Source organism: Homo sapiens, chromosome 16, assembly GCF_000001405.40.
Source record: "Homo sapiens chromosome 16, GRCh38.p14 Primary Assembly".
Taxonomy (NCBI): Eukaryota; Metazoa; Chordata; class Mammalia; order Primates; family Hominidae; genus Homo; species Homo sapiens.
In genome coordinates, this window is record NC_000016.10 from 88,282,010 (window position 1) to 88,306,458 (window position 24,449).

A 24,449-nucleotide genomic window follows, 5' to 3' on the forward strand; every position below is an offset into this window, starting at 1 on the left:
TAATGAGCCAACATTATTGCATCAGTCATTATTGTGCCAGTGTTGGTACCTGGGTTGGTATGAGCTGGCATTGGTGTATAGTGTAGGGTAGTCCATGGCAGATAAGGAAATGTAATCTCGACATTCCAGCAGTTCTTGGGATGGACCAAGGGCCAGAAACACCTTTGGGCAGGAAACACCTTCAGCCAGGCTCAAGGCATTTGGGAGACACAGCTCAGAGGGCAGTGCTGGCTCCACAGGGGTGCACCTTGTGGATGGTGGTCGGAAGGCACCTTGGGCCTGTGTTCTCACTGTGTTCCAGGGTGAAAAGTGGGGTTTATGTCAAAAGTCAGCCCTGGGTGATGAGTGGCAGCCGCCTGGTGCTGTGTTGAGAGGGACCTGGGTGTGTCTGGGTGTGGCGGGGAGGCTGAGGTCACTGTGAAACAATCATGCCCGCAGTGCCTGTTGGACCTTGCCCTGGGCCCTGGCCTTTTGACCCCCGCTGTGGAGGTAATCATCCTTCAGATGCTCACCTTGCAGAAGACACAGTGGTGACCATCTGGAGCCAACATGCACAGAGGGGAGTGTGTATAAGAGCTGGGGGATGTCGCCAGACTCCTCCACACAGCTGCAGAGACGTCGGATTGCAGACACAGCCCCTTATCTGCTCAGCCGTTAAGCAGCTTTATGCAGTGCAGAGCAGAGTCCCACAGGGAAGAGCCTCACTGTCAATTGTCAGCACGTCTCACCCGTAAAGGGTCATCCCTGTTACCAGAGCAGGAGACATCTCCTGACCTCGATGGAGTGGATGCAGCTACTCACTGCGGCTATAAAAACTCCACCCTCCTAAAGCAGCTGTCTGGGCTTGTTTCTGATTAAGGTCCACACAGGGAGTGCAGCATTCTGGGAGCGCATTACCTCCTGGCAGCCCTCAAGCTCCCAGAGCAGCCCCAGGAATCCAGAGTATCCTGACATTTAGCTTAACGGGGAGCAGGAGGACCCCAGCGATTCCCTCCGGAGTTTGGCCAATGCATTAGGTCAAGAAGTTGGCAAACCCAGGAGAAAGTCACTTTCCCATTTCTAATTATTCAAGACCCGGCTGCACAAATTGTTTATTTTAGTCGTTGACATTTATTGGAGCAAATGCTGAGTGGTGAGCAGTCGTCTAGGGGGTGGGGAGGGGACTGGGAAGGAACGTTTCTGGGGTGATGGAAACCATCTATACCTTGACAGGATTTCAGTCACCCGAGGGAACGCCTCTGTCAGAACCCATTGACTTGTACGCTTGTGATGTGCACATTTTAACTAAAAAAAAAAAAAGCAACCATAAACAAATGTTGAACTCTGGTTAACGCAGTACACCCTGAAGTGTGTTGGGGAGGTGTGTGGACACCTGCCGTTTACTTTGAAATGCATCAAAAAATAAGACGAATGAATGAACAGAGAGGGATGGAGAAGTCAATACATTTGTAATAGCAGGAAGAGTAAAACGTCAACAACTGTGAGCCTAGGCAGTGGGTCACTGGATGTGTGCTACGCCATTCTTCCAACTTTTCTGTGTGTTTGAAAATTTTCCCAATAAAATGCTGGGAAAAAATTCTAGGTGGTGGGTTGGGGGTATCTGTTACATTACTTTCTAGGCTTTTCCCTACTTTGGATATCGTTCATGATTCTCTGGGGTGTGAGGAGTTGGAGCGGATTCTTAGGGCTGGCCACTTTCCGGATGGCCCACCAAGGTAGCTCAGCTGTGAACGCGGAGGCTGGTAGACCCCGAGTCTGCCCGAGGTCTGCGGAGGCTGGTAGACCCCCAGTGTGCCCGAGGTCTGTGAAGGCTGGTAGACCCCCAGTGTGCCCAAGGTCTGCAGAGGCTGGTAGACCCCCAGTGTGTCCGGAGTGCCTGAGGTCTGTGGAGGCTGGTAGACCCCCAGTGTGCCCGAGGTCTGCGGAGGCTGGTAGACCCCCAGTGTGCCCAAGGTCTGTGGAGGCTGGTAGACCCCGAGTGTGCCCGAGGTCTGTGGAGGCTGGTAGACCCCCAGTGTGTCCGGAGTGCCTGAGGTCTGTGGAGGCTGGTAGACCCCCAGTGTGCCCGAGGTCTGCGGAGGCTGGTAGACCCCGAGTGTGCCTGAGGTCTGTGGAGGCTGGTAGACCCCCAGTGTGCCCGAGGTCTGCGGAGGCTGGTAGACCCCCAGTGACCGAGGTCAGCGGAGGCTGGTAGACCCTGAGTGCCCAAGGTCTGCTGCTGCCATTAGGTTTGAGCAATTATCTCTTGGCTCAGTTTGCTGACAGAGCCCCTGGCTAAATAAAAATGGACGCCAGGCTGGGCACAATGGCTCACGCCTATAATCCCAGCCTCCTGAAGTGGATGGTCTCTTCGACCGAGGGATCCTGGGGCATCCCAAGAAGAATGACTTGAGCCCATGAGTTTGAGACCAGCCTGAGCAACATAGCAAGACCCCATCTCTACAAAAAAATAAATACATAAAATTAGCTAGGCCTGGTGTAATCCCAGCTACTTGGGAGGCTGAGGTGGGAGGATCGCTTGAGCCCAGGAGGTCAAGGCTGTAGTGAGCTGTGATTGTACCACTGCACTCCAGCCTGGGCGACAGAGGGAGATCCCATCTCAAAAAAAAAAAAAAAAAAAAGAACAGGCTCCTGTAAAAACCAACACACAATTCACCACCACCAACACTCTGCAGGGTGGGTCCTCCCAAGGAGAGCAGCAGGTGCTAAGGGCCTTCCGTGGTGTGCGGCCTGCAGGCACACTCCGCCGTGCCCCTGGCAGCTCTGCAGGAGGGCGATGGGGCCTTGGTGAGGAGTGAGACTCAGCCTTGGCCTGAGCCGCAGGTCCCCACACATGGATTCCTGATGCTGAAAGGGGCCATCTGTCCTCTACCAGCTGGCACTCTGGGAGGCCACTGTCCCAGGCTCATGCAGGAAGAATTTTGTTTTGTGCTGATTGCACTGAGATGTTATTTCCCAACAGAGATCATCCTTGGGAGTCCAGGCAGCCGACTCTGAGCCCACAGCCGGTTCCCCTAGGGCCGGGTCTCAGGTTCCCAGGCTAGGGGGAGGCGCATTGCCCATGCCTGGCCTAACATGCCTCATACCCGTCAGCTTCAGCCCAAGAAGCCCAAGGCACACGTGCCCATGACCATCACTGACTGTGGAGTCTCAGGGCTGCTATCTGGGCCAAAGGCCCGTGTGCCCGGAGAACTGCCCCCAGAGCTGTGGTAGGCAGGCAGCATCAGCCCCGCCTCCCGCAATGGAGCTATTCTGGGTACATGAGGGTTCCTGCCAGGGCAGGTGAGGCCCTCAGGAGAGAGTTCTGAGCAGGGCCCACTGCTGAGCGGTCTCTAACCCTCGGCATCTGTGCAGGGGATCAGGCAGGTGCAGCAGCCATGGTCACCCTGGTGGACGAAGACAGGCAGCCAGGGGCTGTGGGGAGACAGTGTGGGAGGCCACACTGTCACAGCAGAATCTTCCAGGCATTGCCACAGCCAGCGTGGGCAGGGCCACAAAGAGCAGGGTCAGCCTGGTCACGAGGTGAGGCCTTTCCAGCAGCTGACACGGCACCCAGGACCCGAGGCCCACCTGTGGCCCATTTGGCACCCTCTTGCCCACAGCTGTGGTCTGTCCATGTAATGTCCTTTCAGACACGCTGGAAGCGTCGGCACGGTGGGGAGGTGCTCAGGGCCTCCGTGGGGCCGGTGGAGAGCAAGCCAGCTGGTGATGTCCCTGGGCCCTCTCTGAGTGGTGGGCAGTGAGGGGGTTGGGAGTGCCCTCTGGCAGGGGCCACCATGTTGTCTGCTGCTTCCCAGGCCACCCTCGTCACAGTGCAGTGGTGGCAAATGCTTTCCATGTGGGAGGGGCCCTCGTGCCACTTGGCCTGTGGCCACAAGAAGGCCTCAGCTACAGATGTCTTCATCCCTCCATGAGACTCCTGCTGACCCTGTGAAGGCCGCTCACTCTGGCATTGTCTGCTCAGCCCCCATCGGACCCACAGCCCGGAGCATCGCCATCTCCTTCCTTTCAGAACCACCCACCTGTGTTTTAGCCCAGGAGCCCCAGTCCCAGCCCACTCGGTGCCTCCATCGTGCCCCATTGCTGGGGATGGAGCACATTCCCCTGTTGGGAACTGCCTTTGGCTTTTGGAGTTTTTGTGCATCCTGTCCTGCCTGGGACGGATGAGTTTCTCAAAGTCACAGGTCCCTCCAGTTGTTTTCCTAAGAAGCCCCCACTCCGTTCACCACAGAGTCCTGAATGGATTCAGGCTCCTGGGCCTCAGCGGCAGCTAACTGTGCAACAAGATTGATTCGCTCCTTGGAGTCCTGGGAGAGCCACGGCCTGGCTGCTGACATCTGCCGTTATACTCAGGTGGCTGCCAGGCCTTTCTGCACCTGCCTGTCTGCTCTGAGCTCGCTGGTGCCCTCTTCTCCCTGCCCCATCCTCTCCCCATCTGAACGCCGGGTATTTACACCTTCCTGCCAATCTGCAGGAGCCAGCTCCCACATGCCATCCTCTGGCTGCTGATCTGAGCCACTTGCCATCGGGAGAGGACATGGCCCCTCACCTGGCCTGGGCCCCTGCCAGGGCTTTGTCAGTGCAGGTGGGGGAGGGAATGTGGAGGACAGGAACATTCTGCATTCAGTGCTGACAAGATGCCATCATTCAGCAGGGGCTGGCTGGGAAGAGGCTCCCAATGACTGACAGGTGAGCTGCTGTGAGCTTTAGAAGGAACAGAAAAGTACTTTCATGTTCCCAGTGCTGCGTGGCCCACAGAACAGGACAGATACTGCCCTGTGGCCCTGTCCTGGCCCCTCTCTGCCTCTGTGTCTTATAATACTGCATCCATCCAGGTCACATGAGTCCCCCTGAGGCCCTCGACTCCCAGATACTGAGCTCTGGGGAACTCGCTCAGGAGAGGAGATGTGGGTGGAGCCACATCAGGGGGAGTGTGTATGAGACCATCTGACTACAGCAGCTCAAATGAGCTTAGGAATGCCTAAGTCCCGTTTTTCTTATTCTTTTGCTTTTATTTACAGTTCTACCCTATAACTAGTGTCCCCAAACACTAGATTTTTCTTGCTTTTTAAAGCTTTTCTGAACATGGTAGGGTCCAGGCCATATGCTGTTCTGTGACTTGCTTTATTTCACCGAATCTTCAGTTTCTAAGGTGCACCTTGGTTGTTGTCCGTAGCCGATGGCCATTCATCCTCACTGCTGTATAATACACCCTTGTGTGAATGTGCCACAATTTGTCTACCCAAGTCTCCTGTCAACGGACACAGGAGTTTCCAGTGTTTTGCTGTCACAGTGAAACTGCTCTGAGCATCACAAGTCTCCTGATGTGTGGCACAAAGGTTTCTCTAGGTGCACATGTATATGGCATGTTGCATTGTAGACAGTGGTTGTGTACAACCGCACCAGCGGAGCCCAGCCACCTCCAAAAGGCTGCACCACTGCCCACTACCACTAGGGGGAGACAACAGCTCCAAGTCTCCCCACCTTGTAGCACCTGCTACCCTTGAACTTCAGTTTCTTTATCAATCCCATGCTGGCAAAACTGTAGCTCACTTTTTATCTGGTGGATCATTTTATCACAATTATAAATACACATCACTTAAAGCCTTAAAACATTGAACAGTTCTATAAGGCTTGTTATGAGAAACAACATCCCTCCCAGGTCCAGCCCCCACCCCCAGTACCCTTTCCGGTCTTCATGTTGCTATGAATGCTGGTGTGACGCTACTTCTTGAAGTTCTGTTTTAAGCATTATGCATTCACGCTCCAGGCTAGACTTCCTTCACCCTGCCGCATTAGCCTTATGGCCAGCGCTGACTTCATGGTGATCACGTAGCTGTAATTCATAACTGAGGCTTACTGAGTACTGTCATTTCCTTTTCTTTATTGCACATGTTTTTTAGAAATGATTTGAGATTTTTGTCGGTTGGTTGTGATTGGCTGGTTTGTTTGCTTGCTTTTCTGTGCACTTATTAATTCAATCCCAAACTCACTCCAGTTGTATAAATCTCCTCCCAAGACTTTCAAACACACTAGATAATTTATCCATTTCATCTTTGTGGAGAAACCTTTTTCCTCCTGCTGCTCCAATCTGGACTAGATGTTCTCCGTGCCCTGTGGTCAGTCAACATTTTGCGAGTCTCCTTTCTCCATCTTACCGGGGAGTATCTGTACCTTGCTCTTGTGTTGAATCTCCTGCTTCCTAGATCCATGCCCTTCACCTTCTTGGTTTACTCCCTTGTTTTCATGGAGCATGCCCCCAGTAGCTTTGTGAGAGAGGGAGCCAGGGAGGCACGCATGTTGAGAACTTGGATGTTTTCACATGTGTTTATTCTACTCTGTCACTCACGCTCCTTGATGGCAGGACCTACCTGTTTTTTATTTATCATATTTGCCTTTGTTCACCCCATTTTTATTGCCAAGAACATTGTCTCCTACCCATCCACCTATCCAAATCTATCAATCATCAAGGCTACACTCTATGATATTTATTGCATCACTCTCTTGACATTTATACTCATCACATTTATTCATTAATTCAGCATTCACTTGATGAACACCTGCTATGTGTGTTTGAGGAATTCACAATGAATCAAAAACAAGCTCTTCTGCCAAGAGGAATTCTAGAATGCTGGAGCTAGACGGGACCCCTGATACTGTCTCATGTAACCCCTGTTGCATAGATGGAAAGATTGAGACCTGCTTGTCCAAAAAGTATGCAGCCCAAATCTCCTGACTTCCAGGCTCTTGCTCTTCCTATGTCAAAAGCTATGTACCAGAGGGGCTTTAATATAAAAGGATGACAAATAAAAGTAAAAGCCTGTGACCAGAGTTTCACAGGAGAGAGAGAGAGAGAGCACTTGTAACAGAAGCACTAAGGGCAACAGTACCAGAAAGTCATTTAATGACAAAGAGCATAAAGCAGACACTCCATACATCCAGTGTTCTTGGTGACTCTACAGTTATAGTACAGTGGTGGTGATGATGGTGGTGGTGATGATAATGACGATGATGAGGGTGATAATGATAACAGTGATGGTGATGATGGTGGTGATGAGGGTGATGATGATGAGGATGTTGATAGTGATGAGGGTGATGATGGTAACAGTGATGGTGATGACGGTGGTGTTGAGGATGATGGTGATGGCAATGATGATGATGATGAGGGTGTTGATGATGATTAGGTTGATGATGGTGATGGTGGTGATGATGAGGGTGATGATGATGATGAAGGTGATAATGGCAACAGTGATGGTGATGATGGTGAGGGTGATGGTGATGATGATGGTGATGAGGATGATGGTGATGGCGATGATGATGATGAGGGTGTTGATGAGGGTGTTGATGAGGGTGATGATGGTGATGATGGTGATGGTGATGATCATGATGATGGTGATGATGATGATGATTATTATGACAAGGGTGATGATGATATGATGATGATGATTAAAATAACACAATTACACCGATCTGTGACTGCGAGTTATTGAGTGTTTGTTCTCTGTTAAGTAAGTACTATGCTGAGTGCTTCACCTAAATTAGCTCATTTAATCTCCCATCACCACTCCATGAGCAATGAGTGTTATTTCACTCATTTTACAAATGAAGAAGCTGAGAGAGAGAGAAATGAAGTCACTTGTGAGTGGTGGAGCTGGGATCGTTCCCAAGGTAGTCTGACTACAGAGAGAGGGTGCGTAGGAGTGAATGTGTTCCTAAGCTCTCTTGGTCTTCGTGCCTTAAGGTCCTGGTAACAGATGTTAGAAATGCAGAAACTGGCAGATGCGCATGGTAGGATTTATGGACCAGATATGCACACTTATGTCCCAAGTGTGTGTCTGTTGTATGTTTGTGGAGTGAGGAGGGAATCCCTTGCAACATTGCCTAACCAGAAAATAGCTTTCACGGGCCAAGAAGACTCAGCCTCTTATTTAGGCTGATGGACATTGTCTGGAGCCTGAGGCTGTGTCAGAGCACACAGGAGACACTCTGTCTGGGCACTACTTGGGAAAGATGTTTGTTCCCAAGTCACAACTGTGAGCCGCTCCCTCAGAGCTCAGACAGCAGCGATGGACATCGTGGGTGAGCTGTCTGTAGCTCAGTCCCTCTGAGAGCAGTGAGGCACTTAGAGTGCCGGGAGCCATGCACCGCGGCTTAGCACGCCAGCAGGAGCTAATATGTACGCTGCACCACTGTCGCGGCATCTGCCTGGCTGCAGATTTCCTGTGCAGCTGATGGACTTTCAGATGAAAGGCAAAATTTCCGGTGCCCTTGATCTCAAAGTTGTCTCTTGGACTTCTCACTTCCTCATAAGCTGCCTCCATAAAGGGACAGAAAAAGGGAGGTTTTTGGCAGAAAAGGAGTGGGTGTTGGGAGCCTTTCGAAAGTCTGTTTCCAGCATGGCAGGTGACGTCCCCTCCTTAAGCAGATCTGTTATCCCTGTCACAGTTGGGCCATGACAGTTCAGAGCCATGTTCAGGTTCACACAATTCGAGATGTTAGTCTCTTCCTTTCTGAGGCATTCCTGAAAGTTCTATCTGAGGCTCTATTCCTTTATATACAATTCTATGTAAATAAATGTTGAGAGTCTGAACAATCCTAGTACCGAGCATTCTGCATTAAGTAGAATTACCGATATTGGGTCCCATCTATTCATCCCCACCACCCCCCAACCTCAACTACAGCAGAAGCTCTGCCCAATCTGGTTCTGCCCAATTTTGTGGTCACCACAGTGGCACATGCTGGAGGTTTTCAATACATGTCTGCTGAACGAATGAGTGAATGAAGTCACATCTAGGAGGTGCCCACTTGTTCATGACCCTGATTGCAAATGACCTAGTGGACATCAGGCCACCCCCACCTTCAGGACAGCATCTTTCCAGGGATCCCTCTGCCTGCCATTCCTGTGTGGGTTTAAACCCACGTTTCCCCACAAAACCAGATCGGAGCGCGTCAGCCTTGGCCAGTGCTCTCTGCCTGATGTCCAGGGCAGCTCCTGCCACATGGGGTATCTGGGAAGTCTCGCTGAGTGACTGGATGGGCTCCAGGTGTGTGTCCGTCCGGCACCTCTGCTTCCCTCTGGGAGACACACCTGGAGCCAAGCAGGCCAAGGGATGCTAACCCACATAGATGGGGCAGTCCGGGCTCCCCACTCCCCTCTTGGCTCCTCAGACCCACCTGGACCCTGAGATTTCTCCAGAAGCACCAGTGGGCAGAAACCATGAGCTTCCTGTTCAGACTTTTCTGTAGGAGCTTGGTGTCTGCCCAGCAGGGACTCCAGGGGCTCGGCTGCTGCACATTGGTCCCCACTACACACACTTGTTTGATGCATGAAGGGCACTTGCTGAATTTTGACCAGAATCCTGAGCTATCGGACGTAGAAGCAGCTTTAGCCTCCCAGCCCACTTTCCCCTCAATAAGACGCGTTCATAAACTTCTGTCCTTCGCCAAGTCCTGCTGCCGGGGAGGCAGAACCTCGTCTCTTCGCATCGGGCAGCCATCATCTTGTTTTACAGATGAAGACACCGGGGCTCAGCACGCGGCTTGCCTGATGTCTTCCAGGTAATAAGGAACAGTCAGGAACTGGACTTGCCTCCCTAGTTAGAGACTCTCCCACTTGTGTATCCGTCTTACACCCCATGCAGACGCCCCCCTTCATAGCCCTTGACCTTGAGGGAGCCCCGTGCGGAAGCACTTCTCATGGCTGCTGGTGGTCTCGGTGAATATCAGCAGAAAGGAAATGGAGCCGCCATATTGGATCCTCCCTGCGTCTGGGTGTCCTGGGAGTGCCTTTAAGTCCTCCTGGGCCTCAGTCTCCCTTCTGGGGAGAGAAGAACCACCCAGGTCCGTCCTCCCTGGCGAGCTGATGTGGTGCCTTCAGACCCCTCTGTTTTGTGTCCTTCCTTCTAAGAAGGCAGGGCCTCTGGGGCTCAGCCTTGATGGCTGCTGGCTGCCCAGGGAAGGGGCTGGAGCCGAAGGTATGAGGCACATATTCTGTGGTAGGACAGTTTTGGGGACCGAGGCTTTGGTGTCAGGTCCCAGGAGTCTGGAGAACATGAAGTGGATCTGGATATGCGGGTCACAATTAAGGCAAGGGGGTGCCATGTGGGGCCTGGAGAATGGAGCAAAGGGGACTTCCAGAGGCAGAGGGGGAGCCAGAAGGGGCCCTGGAGTCACCTGCAGTGGGTGGGTGCTGCATAGCACTGAGCTGCCTGGTGTGCGTGGTCCCAGCAGGGGCCTTGACCAGACAGCAGCCGATGCTTGGGTCCCCAGCACCGAGGACCATGCATTTCCAACTGGGGCAGGGTGGCCCAGGTGAGCCAAGGCCACAGGAGCCGGGACATTGGGTAGCAGGGCCTGAGTGTGAGTCCCTGTTGTAAACTCGGACCAGTAATTTTGCATCTATAGGCCTCCACCCTCCCATCTATGAATTGAGACTGATAAACCCACCTCACCAGGGCCCCAGTGGGGTCCGGGGACCAACATGTGTGAAGATGCTTCACTGGAAAGCATTGTGGTGACATGTGTGACGCACGTGGGGAAGGGTCAGAAAACGGGTTGAGTGAAGCCTCGTACAGCTAAGTCGGGTGGGTGGGCTGGAATTTGGAGCTGGAATCTTCTGGGGTGATGGTGGCCAGCCAGGCCTCGGTGGCCTTGACTGGAAAAGTCTGCCCATTGTGAAGCGCCTCCTGCTCTGGGCAAACTGTGCTCATTACTTGCTCACTCGTAGGCTCTCCAGACTCTGCCCTGAGTCACTTTCCCCATATGTTAGCTGTCTCCACCCTGTGTTATCAAAAAAAAAAAAAAAAAAAAACCTCTAACAGAATTTGATTTCCATCCAGCTCACCAGGAACTTTAAATCCCCCTGTCTGGATCCTTTATCGGACACTGGTCCGCTAGACAGTCTCTCTGAGGAGCACGATCCTGACAGTTTCCACCTAAATGCCCTTGGGGAGGCCCTGGGGTCTTCCTCATCCTTCACACAGAAAGATTGAGATCAATGGCATGGCCTCTACCAGCAGCCAGAAACATAAATTTACTTCCCTTCTATTCTCCTGAACAAACTGAGGCCTGTGGATGGTGGGTGGATGGATGGATGGGTGGATGGGTGCACGAATAGATGCATGGATAGACTGATGGATGGATCAATAGGTAGACAAGTGGATGAATACATGGGTGGATGGATGGATGAATGGATGGGTAGATGGATGGATAGGTAGATGGGTGGATGAATGGATGAATGGGTAGATGGACAGGAAGATGGGTGGATGGATGGGTGGACACGTGAGTGAATGGATGGATGGGTAATTGGATGGATGGATGGATGGATGGATGGATGGATGGATGGTTAAATGAGTACATGGTGGATGAATGGATAGTTAGGTGGATGAATAATTGACTGGGTGGATGGATGGATGGATGGTTAAATCGGTACGTGGTAAATGGATAGATAGGTGGATGGATGAATGAGTGAATGAGTGGGTAGGTGAATGGATGGGTAGGTAGATAGATGAATGGGTGGACTTATTTACTAAATGGAAAGGGAAATGATGATCCATCACCTGCCAAGATTCTGGGCTTTGTCTAGAAAGTTCTCCCACCTGAAGGGGTCTGTACTGGCCATTTCTTCTTTCTAGAATATTCCCTTCAAAGCTTCATTGGGGGGTGTATTTTCCCTCTTAACCTTAATGTCACCTCTTCTGAGACTCTTCTGTGATCCTATAGGGAGACCAGCACTAAATAAATAATTAACCTTCAAATAAGTCTACAGTGTCCAATTAGGATGGGTGCATGAGGACTGGGACTGTGGGTGGGAATTGTGGGGCATGGAGGGGGCTATGGGTAGCTGATCGGGAAAGGTTTCTCTTAGCCTTCGGTCTCTCTCCTAAGGCACAAGCAGGCTAAGTGGGGTTCACGTGACACAGGTGGAGGGAACGGTGTGAAGACCACGAGACGGCCTTTACTCTGAACCAAGATAAGCATCTGTGTGCTCTCTGCCCAGCTCCGAGTGCCAGGACTGTGCACGGGGTCTCCCCTAGAGCCCCCAGTGCCTCAAGAGAGGAGTCAGTGGCCTTTGTTGGATGTGAGGGTTATCTTCCTATGGTCACCCAGGAAAGCTCTGGCTCAAATTCCTTTGTGGCCAAAAGTTGCTTGTGGCAGAAACACATGGGACCAGTGACAAAGATCAGCTGAAACTGTCTTTAGACCAAGATGCCAATCAGAACCAACTGTGCAGAACCAGTGTGCCGCCATGCCAAACCACTGCCCAAGGTAGGCTCGTGCCATCCTACCTCCTGCCCTGTGCACTTCTAACACACCATCTAAGCACCCGCTCCTTCCTTACTTCCTTCCACAAATACCTGCCTAGTGCTGTCTTACTGTCTCCTCAGTGGTTTAGGGCGCATAAACTTGGCCTTCCACATCATTGTGCAAACTCCCTTGTTCAAATCCACATGGCACTTTGCTGGGTTCCTGCCTCCTGCCCTCTGGGCTCCCAGGCTACTCAAAGACACAGGCAAGAAAATACAACCCTGCATTAAGAGCCACTCATTCTTTGAAGAAAGAGGCCATCTCATCTGAGGAGCTTTTTCCACGTGGAAATTGCCTCTTTAACCCTGAGTATCCTTGAGTCCAAGCGCTAAAAACCAACACACCTGCTTGCTTCCCACGACTGGGAAGCGGCTAAAAGCCTGGGTCTCTGCTTTCTTTGTAGATCGTGGCTGAGCAAATGCAGCCGATGAAATGGAAGAGCAAGGGGTGAAGAAATGAGTGAGGTGCCCACGCAGCCCTCATAATGCCGGGGCCATCGGAGAGAAGACCGGGATGAGTTTTTAGGGTAAATGCCAGGTCTCTGTAATAACCAAAGAATGATTTACACCAAGCACGGCCTGTGCTGTTGGGGCATCCATGGCACAATGACTAGCAAGAGCCTCTCGAGCCCTCAGGACGTGGCAGGGCTCAGGGTCTGGGGAGGATGTCATCTCTAGCCCCCAGGACGTGGCAGGGCTCAGGGTCTGGGGAGTATGTCATCTCGGGCCCCCAGGATGTGGCAGGGCTCAGGGTCTGGGGAGGACGTCATCTCAGGCCCCCAGGACGTGGCAGGGCTCAGGGTCTGGGGAGGACGTCATCTCGGGCCCCCAGGACGTGGCAGGGCTCAGGGTCTGGGGAGGACGTCATCTCGGGCCCCCAGGACGTGGCAGGGCTCAGGGTCTGGGGAGGACGTCATCTCGGGCCCCCAGGACGTGGCAGGGCTCAGGGTCTGGGGAGGACGTCATCTCGGGCCCCCAGGACGTGGCAGGGCTCAGGGTCTGGGGAGTACGTCATCTCGGGCCCCCAGGACGTGGCAGGGCTCAGGGTCTGGGGAGGACGTCATCTCGGGCCCCCAGGACGTGGCAGGGCTCAGGGTCTGGGGAGGACGTCATCTCGGGCCCCCAGGATGTGGCAGGGCTCAGGGTATGGGGAGGACGTCATCTTGGGCCCCCAGGATGTGGCAGGGCTCAGGGTCTGGAGAGGGCGTCAACGGCTGTAGCTGAGCCCCTGCTGAGGAGTTGGGTTGTGGCCATTCTGGTGTTTGTGGGTTTTGATTAGAGGGCTATCTGAAAGCGCTGATCTGTCATTGAGCTGTACAACTGTACACATTGATACTACGGCCTACACTCGGTGCACACAAAGACATACATGGGCCAGGCCCCCGGGAGATGCTGGGCAGGACCAAGCTGTTCACCCATCACTGTGCTTAGCAGTGCGAGGATGGCTGAGTTCTAGAAGATCCCTCTCTCTGGAACAGATCTGGTGAAGATGTGCTGGGAACACCATCTGCTCTCTGCGTGGAATGACAGACACTCTCATCAACACAGATAACATATGTCTGAGGTCTCAACCTGCGTTCTGTCGCCCCAGAAATATGGAAGGCAGCTGGCACCTCTGCCCCTGTGAGATGTTTGACTGTCAATAGAGAAAGGGCTTGGATGTCGCGCCATCCCTGGGGCAGCGCCTGGCTTTGATAAGCGTCCCCCCTCGGGCTCTCGGCTCTGCAGAGGATATTGCCCCTGAAGGGTGGAAGCGAGCCCGCCCGGCTGCGCCTTTGCAGGGCCCCCTCCTTTCAGATCCCTTCCTGCGACAGGAATTTCCCCGAGAGTGGCCCTGACAGACCCTGATGCATTGCAACAGCCCCAAGGCCATAGGGTGGGGCTTCTGTGTCCAGACTCCAGATGCCTGGGAAGGGGCCAGCCTGGCGGGGACATCCTCATAGGATCCCAGCTTCTGTCCCCACTGGGGATGGCAAGGTGGGCGGAACATGAGAGACAGGCTCCAGCTGCGTGGGGGTGGGGGAATGACACACACACTCACACACACATGCTCATGCACACATACACAGGTGCACATACAGACACATATGTGCACACCCATGCTCACACACATACATGCACACTCACAGACATGCTCACCCTCCCCCCCACACACAGTGCACAAACACACATATGTGCACACTCACAGACAAGCTCACCCTCCCCACACACACACAGGTGCACATACACACATATATGCACACTCACGTGCTCACACACAGGTGCGCATATGCACACACATGCACACTCACAGACATGCTCACACTCATGCACACTCACATACGCATACACACATGCACAGACATGCTCACACACTCATGCACACTCGTGCACACTCACATGTGCAGACCCATGCTCTCACACATTCGCCCATGCTCCACCCACACACACATACACAGGTGCACATACATGCACACACACATGCACACATGCTCTCACACACATGGTAGTGCACACACATGCTCACACATACCACGCACACACTCACGCACCCACACCCCACCGAGGGGAGGGACAGGCACACCAGGCAGAAGGACAGCCCTGGTGCAGCACGTTGGATGCAGCTGTTTTGAAGCAGGGCCATTTCGGTGCAGGCTGGATCAGAAGCCACACAGACTGATGTTGGCCACTGAGCAATGCGTTCAAACTGTCTCTCAGTGGGTCCTCGTCTCCCAAACGCTGGAAAAGCCATTGCTCCAGGAGAGATCTGGAGCAGACATCCAGTAAGCAGCCAGCGGCAGGCACCAAAACAGTGTCGCCACGCAGGGGCTGCTTTCGGCTCTAGCCTCGAAACCTGCATTCCGTCCAGCCCAGCAACATGCAGCTCAGAGGCGGCTCAGTGGCGATGGGAGATTGGGACGGGGCAGGCGTCTGAGTGGTCTCTCGGCTGTGCTGATGGCTACAAAGCTAATGGCGGGGGGCTGGCTTCAGGTATGATCAAAGAGGTTCCGTTGCTCAGCAGGGTCCCGCCAGGGATGAGTCAAAGACGGGTGCGTGCATGACAAGGCTCAGCCACCCTCCACGTCCGCTTTCCTTGGCTTCTCTCCATGCACTTTTTTTGTTTTTTTGCACTCTGTCATAGGCTTACCTGCAAAGCACCTGCATCTGCCCACACGTGGCCTGGAGGTGTCCGGCCTGCCTCACTGCCGCTGAGTCTCTCACAGCCCACGGCACACGGCAAGTGGGAAACGGAAGCTGTTGCCATGAGCCCTGCATGCCTGACCTCCTGCAAAGACCCCTCCGTGGGATGGGAGTGTGGCAGCTCACTCCAGTCTCCAGGGCCGGCATCTTCATCTCTCTCTGCTCTGTCCCCACGCACCCTCTCCTCTCTGTGGGCCGGAGCCCCCTCTGCCTCCCTCTTATGAGGACATCTGTGATTGCATTCAGGGCCCACCCAGGTGGTCCAGGATCATCTCGTCTCCAGAACCTTCACTTAGTCCTGTGGCCCCTTCTCCAAACAAGGACACGTTTGCAGGGTCCAAGGATTAGGACCTGACCTCTTTAGGGTACATTATTGAGGGCACTACAGGTGCCGGTGTGGCTTTTGTCCCCAGGAGTCCCTGGGAGGTGACAACTGCCATCCTTTGCCTGTGCTCCCAGCTTGAGGAAGGAGGTTCCCCAATATCTTTATGTTACGAGCAGGGCGAGTCGATTCCTGCAATTGTCCCACAGGTCTTGTCCCCAGAAATCAAGTCCTTCTTCATCTTTTCAGTTTATGAATGGCACAAGGGCCTTAAGACCAGAATTGCAGATGTAACCCCGCCATCCTCTTGACAGTCCCCCACCCCCTGCCACAGCCCATGGGGTGAGGTGGGGTCTGGGGGCACCAGGCTTGGTCCCCAGGACTCTTTCATCAGCGGCTTTGGAGAAGGGGCCTCTGGGCTGTGCTGTCCACTCCCATAGGCAGCGGCACCCCTGGTCAGGGCTTCCCGGACCAAGAACATGCCTCGAGCGTGTTTGCTGGGGGCTCCTTCTGCCTCGAGGAGCTGTGCACAAGGGAGTCTCCGGGAAAGGGCGGATGACACATGCAGGGCCAGTGCCGCCAAGTTGCTGCTTGTTCACTGAGTTCCAAGAGAAGCCTGTTCAATCTGGGGCAAGGCTGGGAGCAGCCACCAGTCCAGACAGCCCAGGCTGAGACCCTGGAAGGCGAAACTCAAAATGTCTTCAGTTGTTTTAAGCTTTTCACATTAGGAAAGTCTCCTGAGGCGTGGAGAGGACATGGAGCTGCTGACGATTCTTACTCTTAAAATATTTCAGATTTAGACATTTCTGAGCTCTTGGTTATGTGCCAGAGAGATTTGGCCCTGGGACACGGAGGGAGGCAATGTTCTGGAAGGTCACACCTCCCACCTTCCTCTCCCCACTCCTCACTGGCTCTCCAGATCCCACGGGCACCTCCCGAGACAGGAGCAAGCAGACGTGCATTCCATCCTTAAATAGATAGGTCTGCTAGAAATTCCTTCCATCTTTGAAGCCAAAATCCACATCCCTGTAGGGTCCACCCAGCTGGCCCCATTTTTCCCTCTGAGGGGTGATCCCTCTTCTGTGTAAAATCCCCTCACAGAAGGTTTGGTGGTGAGCTCTCTGAGACCTGGGGGAGCAGACACACAGCAGACGCTTGCCCGGGGAACCTAGGCCAGCCTGAGCCTGTCACCCTGCACCTCCAGAGCCCCACACAGATGAGTGTAGGGTGGAGGTCAGGAGAAAGGCCTGCAAGCCAATGGGGGGCAGGGAGGGCTTCCTGGAGGAGGCAGCTTGGGGTGGGGAGGGCTTCCTGGAGGAGGCAGCTTGGGGTGGGGAGGGCTTCCTGGAGGAGGCAGCTTGGGTGGGGAGGGCTTCCTGGAGGAGGCAGCTTGGGGTGGGGAGGGCTTCCTGGAGGAGGCAGCTTGCGGCGGGGTAGGCTTCCTGGAGGAGGCAGCTTGCAGCAGGCGAGGGCTTCCTGAAGGAGGCAGCTTGCAGCAGGAGAGGGCTTCCTGAAGGAAGCAGCTTGCAGCAGGAGAGGGCTTCTTGGAGGAAGCAGCTTGCAGCAGGAGAGGGCTTCGGAGAGGCCGGAGGGCAGAGGCTCCAGGTGCCGGCAGCACTGTTCTTTGGAGGAAGGAGCCGAGTGAAAGGGAACCAGCCAGGCTGCTCCAGGAGCCAGACAGGAAGGAGCACAGCTTTGATGATCTAACAAGGGCTCATCTTGAGGCATGGGGCTGTGGCTTCTGGGAGTCATAGCTGAACCCAGGGAAGCTTTGCCGTGCGGTGTGGGCGGTGGCAGTCTCTGTTCTGGGGCGGTGGCTGGGGGTCAGGTCGCTGTGATCCCACTCCAGCTGAGTGCCAATCCCTGCCCCACCTGGATGAGCTGCTGGGAGGTCTTCAGGGATTTGGGTGGGCTCTGCCTCTGCCACAGGGGCCCCACTGGCTCTCATCCACTTCCCTGGGCAAGACAGGGGACTCAGGCCCAGGAGTTGCCTGACCCTGAGCAGGATGGACTTCTCCATGGGGGTTCCAGCCACTCTGGCTGGAGTTTCCCTCTGAGGCCAGCACTGCCCCGGTGCAATGGCAGCATTGCAGGGCGCTTGTTTGAGGACGACCTTTTCTTTGTGTGGTGGCATCACCACGGCCCCTCTGCCAGGTCTCTCCCCGGGGAGCCTGCTGTGATGGAGGCAGCGCACGGCACGGCTAGGGGGACGCAATGGCATTTGCGGATGAGGAAGGAACGGGAGAAGGGCCCTGCTCGGCCTGACTGGCTTACACCATTGTCCCTTGATTGCCTGACCTGGGAAAAGGAAACTGGAATTTCTCCCAACTCTGCAGTGGGGCATCTTCTCTTGGTCAAAGTCACTTTGATTTCAACAAAGTTGATTCTACTCCCAGAGCCACTGGGTTGCTGGAGGCACAGCCACTGCAGTTCGCAACAGTCCTGCCCGGGTGGTGAGGGTGGGAGGTGGCCATGGATGGAGGCTGGATTTACAGTCGGGAGACCCAAGTTTAAAGTCAGCCTCCACCCCTCTGAGCCTGTCACCCTGCATCATCTTATCATCTTCAGTCCAGGTCCTCGGATATTCGATATCTTTTCTTCCTCTCTAGAGTGAAAACCTGCGTGTGACGGGTGCAGCATCCCCCAGGGCCCCGACACTGCTCACAGGCGCCATGCTCGGTGCTGCCATACTCTATCCTAAGCCAGAAACCCACCACCTAGCAGCAGGGAGCGCTTCTCTCGGTGGCTCCATTTCTTGTATACAAAGGGAGCCTCAGAGGTTGGCACACCATTGTGTCTAACACTTGCATAGAGCACGTGATTCCCCTTGGAATAATGAACAAGTGAGTCGTGAGTGGGCCGCCTTCTTCACCCACCCAGCCCCTGGGGAGCTCCATGATGACTCCAGCCTCTTCCAAGCTGGTTGTCTCACTCTAAGAGCCCGTTCTCAGAGCTAAGCTGTTAGAGGCCGGGTGCGGTGGCTCACGCATGTGATCCCAGAACTTTGGGAGGCCAAGGCGGTTGGATCACCTGAGGTCAGGAGTTGGAGACCAGCCTGGCCAACATGGTGAAACCGCGTCTCTACTGAAAATACACAAATTAGCCAATCGTGGGGGCAGGTGCCTGTAATCCCAGCTACTCGGGAGGCTGAGGCAGGAGAATCCATTGAACCTGTGAGGCAGAGGTTGCAGTGAGCTGAAATCATGCCATTGCACTCCAGCCTGGGCAACAGAGCGAGACTGTCTCAAAAAAAAAGAAAGAAAAGAAAAGAACTAAAGCCGTTGGGAGCGTGCTTTGTACGTGAGAGGATGGAAGATAACTCCGACGCACAGTGGCCACACTTTTCTTTTTTTTTTGAGATGGAGTCTCGCTCTGTCACCTGGGCTAGAGTGCAGTGGCGCCATCTCAGCTCACTGCAAGCTTCACCTCCCAGGTTCACACCATTCTCCTGCCTCATCCTCCCGAGTAGCTGGGACTACAGGTGCCCGCTACCACGCCTGGCTAATTTTTTGTATTTTTAGTAGAGACGGGGTCTCACCATGTTAGCCAGGATGGTCTCAATCTCCTGACCTCGTGATCCACCAGCCTCGGCCTCCCAAAGTGCTGGGATTACAGGTGTGAGCCACCGCACCCAGTGGCCACGCTTCTCTAAGCGATGATTATTTGGAAGAGAACCCTCTCTTGTACTCAGTGAACAGTGGGATGCAGAGGCAGACGCTCACCCGAACAGCCTCTCCAGGGCACCGTCAGGCGAGTAGGGGACACAGGCATCTCCTGAGCGTTTGGGCAGGTCACCATTTGTAGCCACGTCCAGGAATTCCCAGGAGCTGTTGAGGAGCCTGCTGGGAGTGGTCATGAGATGCCGTCCCTGTGGGCACCACTGGTATGGGGCAGGGCCAGCTTTGTCTCCGCCCAGCTCTCTTGTCCCTTCTGTCTCTGTGTACATCCTTTTTGTGGGTTACTGAGAAACAGGCCTCACCTTTCTGCCCCTGCCACCTGAGCCCCCTCCTCAGATCTCCACTCGGGGCTCAGCATCCCAGGCTGCAGGCAGGAGGGGGTAACTATCAGGGTGACAGTCCTGATGACTGTTACCCAATTCCTAGTTCACCAGCAACTGCAGGCCCTCCTCCCCCAATCCTTGTTACATATACATTGTTGTGCTCACTATAAAGACAGGGAAGCTGAGGCTCAGGGAAGCCCTGAGCTCCACCATGGCAGGGCTGAGCCTGGCTCACGGGCAGTTCGTTGCCAGGCAGCCCTGTGCAGAGCAGATGCTGCTGAGAACAGCTGGGCTCTCGGTCAGGACAGTGGCCCTGTTCTTCCTGGGTAGTGGGAGACTCGGGGGGTAACCGACGCCAGGGAGGACGGAGGAGCTGCAGGGGCGGTGGTTACCTGCCGTCTGACCCGCTGTTCCCGCTGCTGTCGGAGTGCTGGGAATCAGCCTCTTATGAAACAATTCCACACAAGCCCAGATGATATTAATGATAAAAATGCTTCATCTCTGAGTCTGGCCAATGGAGTCTCACTCAAGATAAAATTCATTCCTTTTTTAAGAGTGGATATATTTATATTTGGTGCTCTGTGTGTCTTAAAAATCTGTTTCAGTGGCTGCTTCCTTTGGCCCGGAAGCGCGGCCCACCCTGCCTGACTTCCAGCACTCCGTTCCTCGGCTTCTCCATGAAAAGGAGAACGTGTTCCGGCCACCTCCCTGGGCTCACAGCTGCCTGGGCTCGTCTGGACCTGTGGTTGAGAAAGGTTCTCCATTGCCCTGGTGGTGGAGATACAGGGTCAGGCTGTGTACAGAAGGCGCTCCACAGATGCTTGCTGGCCAAGAGTGAACAGACGTTGGGAGGAAGGACCAGCATCTGCTCCCTGCCGGAGGCTCACTTTCTGCTTGGACTCCGAGGCCCCTGTCCCTGCTGGCTGCTCTGTAGGGCCCTGCATCTGTCTGCTTTCCAGGAACCTCAGGTGTCTACCCTCGCCTCACTCTCATCTACCTCCCAGTTCAGCAATGTGCTGTAGGGGCCAGGGTGGGGCCACCACTACAGAACCCCTCTGCCCTGGCCAGCTGTGGGGCTGCCGAAAAGGGGAGGCTTGGCAATCCCAGATGCTGCAGAAAAACAGATGTGTGGGAAGGGCGTGGAACTCAGCAGTGCCAGCCTCCTGCAGGCCCCTGAACACTCCTGTCCCGGGTGCCAGTGTGGAGCATTTGCCTTTCAGAGGTTGGGTCCCTTAGGGTTGAACTCCAATCTGACGGCTGAAGGACAGGTTCCCTACTCCCCTGGTGTCTGTCTGTTAATCCCTGCTGTGAGCTCTGGGCCTGATAGGAAAGTGTGAAGTTGTGTCTGAGGATTTGGTGTTTGCAGCCTGTCATTGTCGGAGCAATCCAGAGCTGTACCCTCCAGCATGCAGCCGCCAGCCATGGTGATCATTTATTAATTAATTAAAGTGAAATCAAGGTAACAATTCACTTCATCCCATGTATCATTGCATAAGTTCTCCTGGGCCCCGTTGGCTGGGGACGTGGACACGTGTGATTTCTGCTCTGCACCCTCGCCAGCGCTGTTCTTTCCAGTGGGCCTTTCCAGCCGGGATCCCTGCCCACTTCCTTGTGCCCAGCTTTCCAGAGCCCCTCAGCCCCTCCAAGGGCCCACCACAGCCTGCAGCAGCACCTGGCCCTGGCTCCCATGGAACTCCACTGCCGGGAGGAACATTCTACTTGTGCTTCTTGGAGGCATCTCAGAAGAAAATCTCAGAACCGCAGAGTTGGAGAAGCCCTCCCGAGGGCATGGGGTCCAGCTCCACCTCCACCTTCCAGTGGGGCTGATGGCTCCGGCGGTGCCTCCACTCTCTTCCTACCTTGTCCTCCCAGCCAAGCCATGAGCCTCTTACAGGCAGGCCCAGCATCCTCTTCAGAACATGTTTGACTCCCCCTGAAATCCTGAACCTGCCTGCTAAGGGGTGGGCTCCTCATCTGGAGAGTGGGAATGACAATTATCTTCCTCTCATCAGGAGGTTGTGCAGATTGAAGGAGATATGATGCAAAGCACCCACACAGGCCACACTCAGTGCCACACACTCAGTGCCACTCACTCAGTGTCATCGCTCTTAATGAAAGTTGCTGATGAGGTCTGGGGGCTGCTCCTGCTTCCTCTTGAAGAGGTGCTTTTGCAAGGAGCTGCTGAGAAGTGAGGCAGCTTTCCAGAGGTAATGGGGCAACTCCGCAGCTCCTGGGCTGTTATGCAGACCAGAGTGTGCTCAGAGGAGGCTTGTTCTGGGAGGAGGACTTGCTGGCCTTTGCAAGCAGTTTGCAACCTTCACATAGGACCCCTCTGGAAAACTCATCCTAGGAGTGGGGAGAGGCTTGGGAAGGGAGACCATGGATTCACAGCCCTTTATCTTATCTGGGAGGTCACGGATGCCCCGACAGCCCAGCGCTGCAGCCCGGCCGCCCCCACACCAGTGACACCAGGGCGATGGAATGCACACACGTCCCCATCGCACTGTGGGCTCCTCCCACCCTGTTGCAGGCGAGTCTGCACGGCCAGTACAACAGCCTGGAACTGTCTGAAGATGGGAAACTGAGAAGGGCCAGGACAGAGGAATCTGCAGGGGCCAGGCCTCCATCCAGACCTCTCTCTCCAAGAGCGGAGAGAGCTGTGGGGAGGGCATTTTGACTTTTGGTGACAGACTCACCCAGTCGCCCGGTGAGCAAGGGGGCCAGCATGTTCCCATATCCACCCGACTCAGCTCAGGAATGTGCCTGTCCAGGGCTTCACCCAGCTGCTTCTGCTCTCTGTGGCATGCTTCAACCTCAAGTGTTTGGAAGCCAAGAGCATAAAAAGGCAAACACTAACCCAATGCATTCCTTCCCCCATCATCTCAGTGTTTTATTCCTCCCAAAGAGCATCTGCTCCTGGATGTTGCAAAATCAGATTATAGCTTTTGACTGCTGCTTTGAGGAATTTGTATTGTCTCATCTGGCTAAGGAGGCAGTGTAATAACACATTGTTCACCAAAGCAAGGGACCCAGGTGCTGCCTGCACCCTGGAGGCCAGTGGACTTGCTTCCCCTGCAAGAATTTGGACATTGGCTTGGGATCCCTTTTCTGAAGCTCTGAATCCTGGGCTCTTAAAGCCACACCCAAGTTCCATCTGGAATCCCCCTCCCCAAGCCACTGGATGATTTAGGAGCCTACTGGAAGCTAGAGCAGTAGAGGCCAAGCTGGAGACAGGGCAGCATCTGACACCCACACAGAGCAAATGCAGTGATGGGCATCAGCAGGAGTGATGCCCTGGTGCAGAAACTCCCAGTCCTTCTGAGTCCTAATGTCCATGCCCGGCATGGGGCAGGCCACACTGAGGGGATGTCTGCATGTGCAGGAAATGTCAGTGCACACCCTCACACACATGCACACACACGCTCACAGGCACACACGCATGCACACCCTCACACACATGCTCTCAGGCACACACACACGCACACCCTCACATGCACACACACACAGGCACACACGCACACCCTCACACACATGCACACACATGCTCACAGGCACACGCATGCACACCCTCACATGTGCACACACACGCTCACAGGCACACATGCACGCCCTCACACACGTGCACACATGCTCATAGACACACACGCACACCCTCACACGTGCACACATGGTCACAGGCACACACGCACACCCTCACACACATGCACACACACGCTCACAGGCACACATGTGTGCACACCCTCACACGTGCACACACGCTCACAGGCACACACGCACACCCTCACACATGCACACACACCCTCACGTGCACACACATTCTCACAGGCACACACGCATGCACACCTTCACATACACACACATGCTCACATGCACACGCATGACCATACATGCATACTCTCATACCTGCACACTCATGCCTGCATGCTCATACACACGGAAACACACATATGCACACTCATAAATGCACATTCACATGCACACATATACACATGTATGCACACTCACCACTCATGCACATGCCCAGACACAGATGCACACTCACGCATCCATGTTCACATACACACATACATCCCCAGCACACTCTCATGCACACCGATATTCTCATGCACTCACACACTGTCACGTAAACCCACACACTCACATACATGTCCTTACACACATGCACACATGTACACATCCCCACACCCCATGCAGCCATACACATGTGGGTGTGAATGTAGACACCTGGTCTGACTGCACTGCAAAAAGGCCTGGAGACGCCAAGGCTGGTAGTTCCCAACAGGTGTGTTGTGGGCCTAAGGAAGTCACAAGGCAGGGGCTTCCAATGACAAGAGGTTCAGAAGCAGCCTCCTGTCCATGGTTTACTAATGATGTCAGGAGCCTACAGTGTGCCAGGCACCGGACTGTGCTGCCAGCACCCTCCAGGCACCTCTTGCTCTTGTGTCCACACACCCCTGCATGGCAGGTGCTGTCCGCATCTCCTTGTCAGTAAGGGAACTTGAGGAGCTGAGGGACGTGCCCTGCCTCTGCCTCCTGTGTGAGGGCTGGAGCTCTCGCACTAGCCTGTCACAGTTGTTCTCTGTAGGTGTGTGGATACCAGGTGGGTTTAACACACAGCAGCCTGCTTAGCCTGTGTGACACC

At 54.3% G+C, this 24,449-nt stretch overlaps 1 protein-coding gene across 1 annotated transcript in view, besides 2 other annotated features; it reads left to right on the top strand.

Annotated features, from left to right (window-relative positions):
• The window catches only part of ZNF469 (zinc finger protein 469), a 339,823-nt gene that overhangs the window by 181,079 nt on the left and 134,295 nt on the right, over nt 1-24,449 (top strand). The window lies entirely within an intron of this gene.
• Nucleotides 21,814-22,315: an enhancer, noted in NCBI's record as "H3K4me1 hESC enhancer chr16:88337429-88337930 (GRCh37/hg19 assembly coordinates)". NCBI's record gives its function as "activates a minimal SCP1, AML or CMV promoter by ChIP-STARR-seq in naive H9 embryonic stem cells {active_cell/tissue: H9 hESC(naive)}" and the evidence as "EXISTENCE:reporter gene assay evidence [ECO:0000049][PMID:30033119]".
• Nucleotides 23,354-23,853: an enhancer, noted in NCBI's record as "H3K4me1 hESC enhancer chr16:88338969-88339468 (GRCh37/hg19 assembly coordinates)". NCBI's record gives its function as "activates a minimal SCP1, AML or CMV promoter by ChIP-STARR-seq in naive H9 embryonic stem cells {active_cell/tissue: H9 hESC(naive)}" and the evidence as "EXISTENCE:reporter gene assay evidence [ECO:0000049][PMID:30033119]".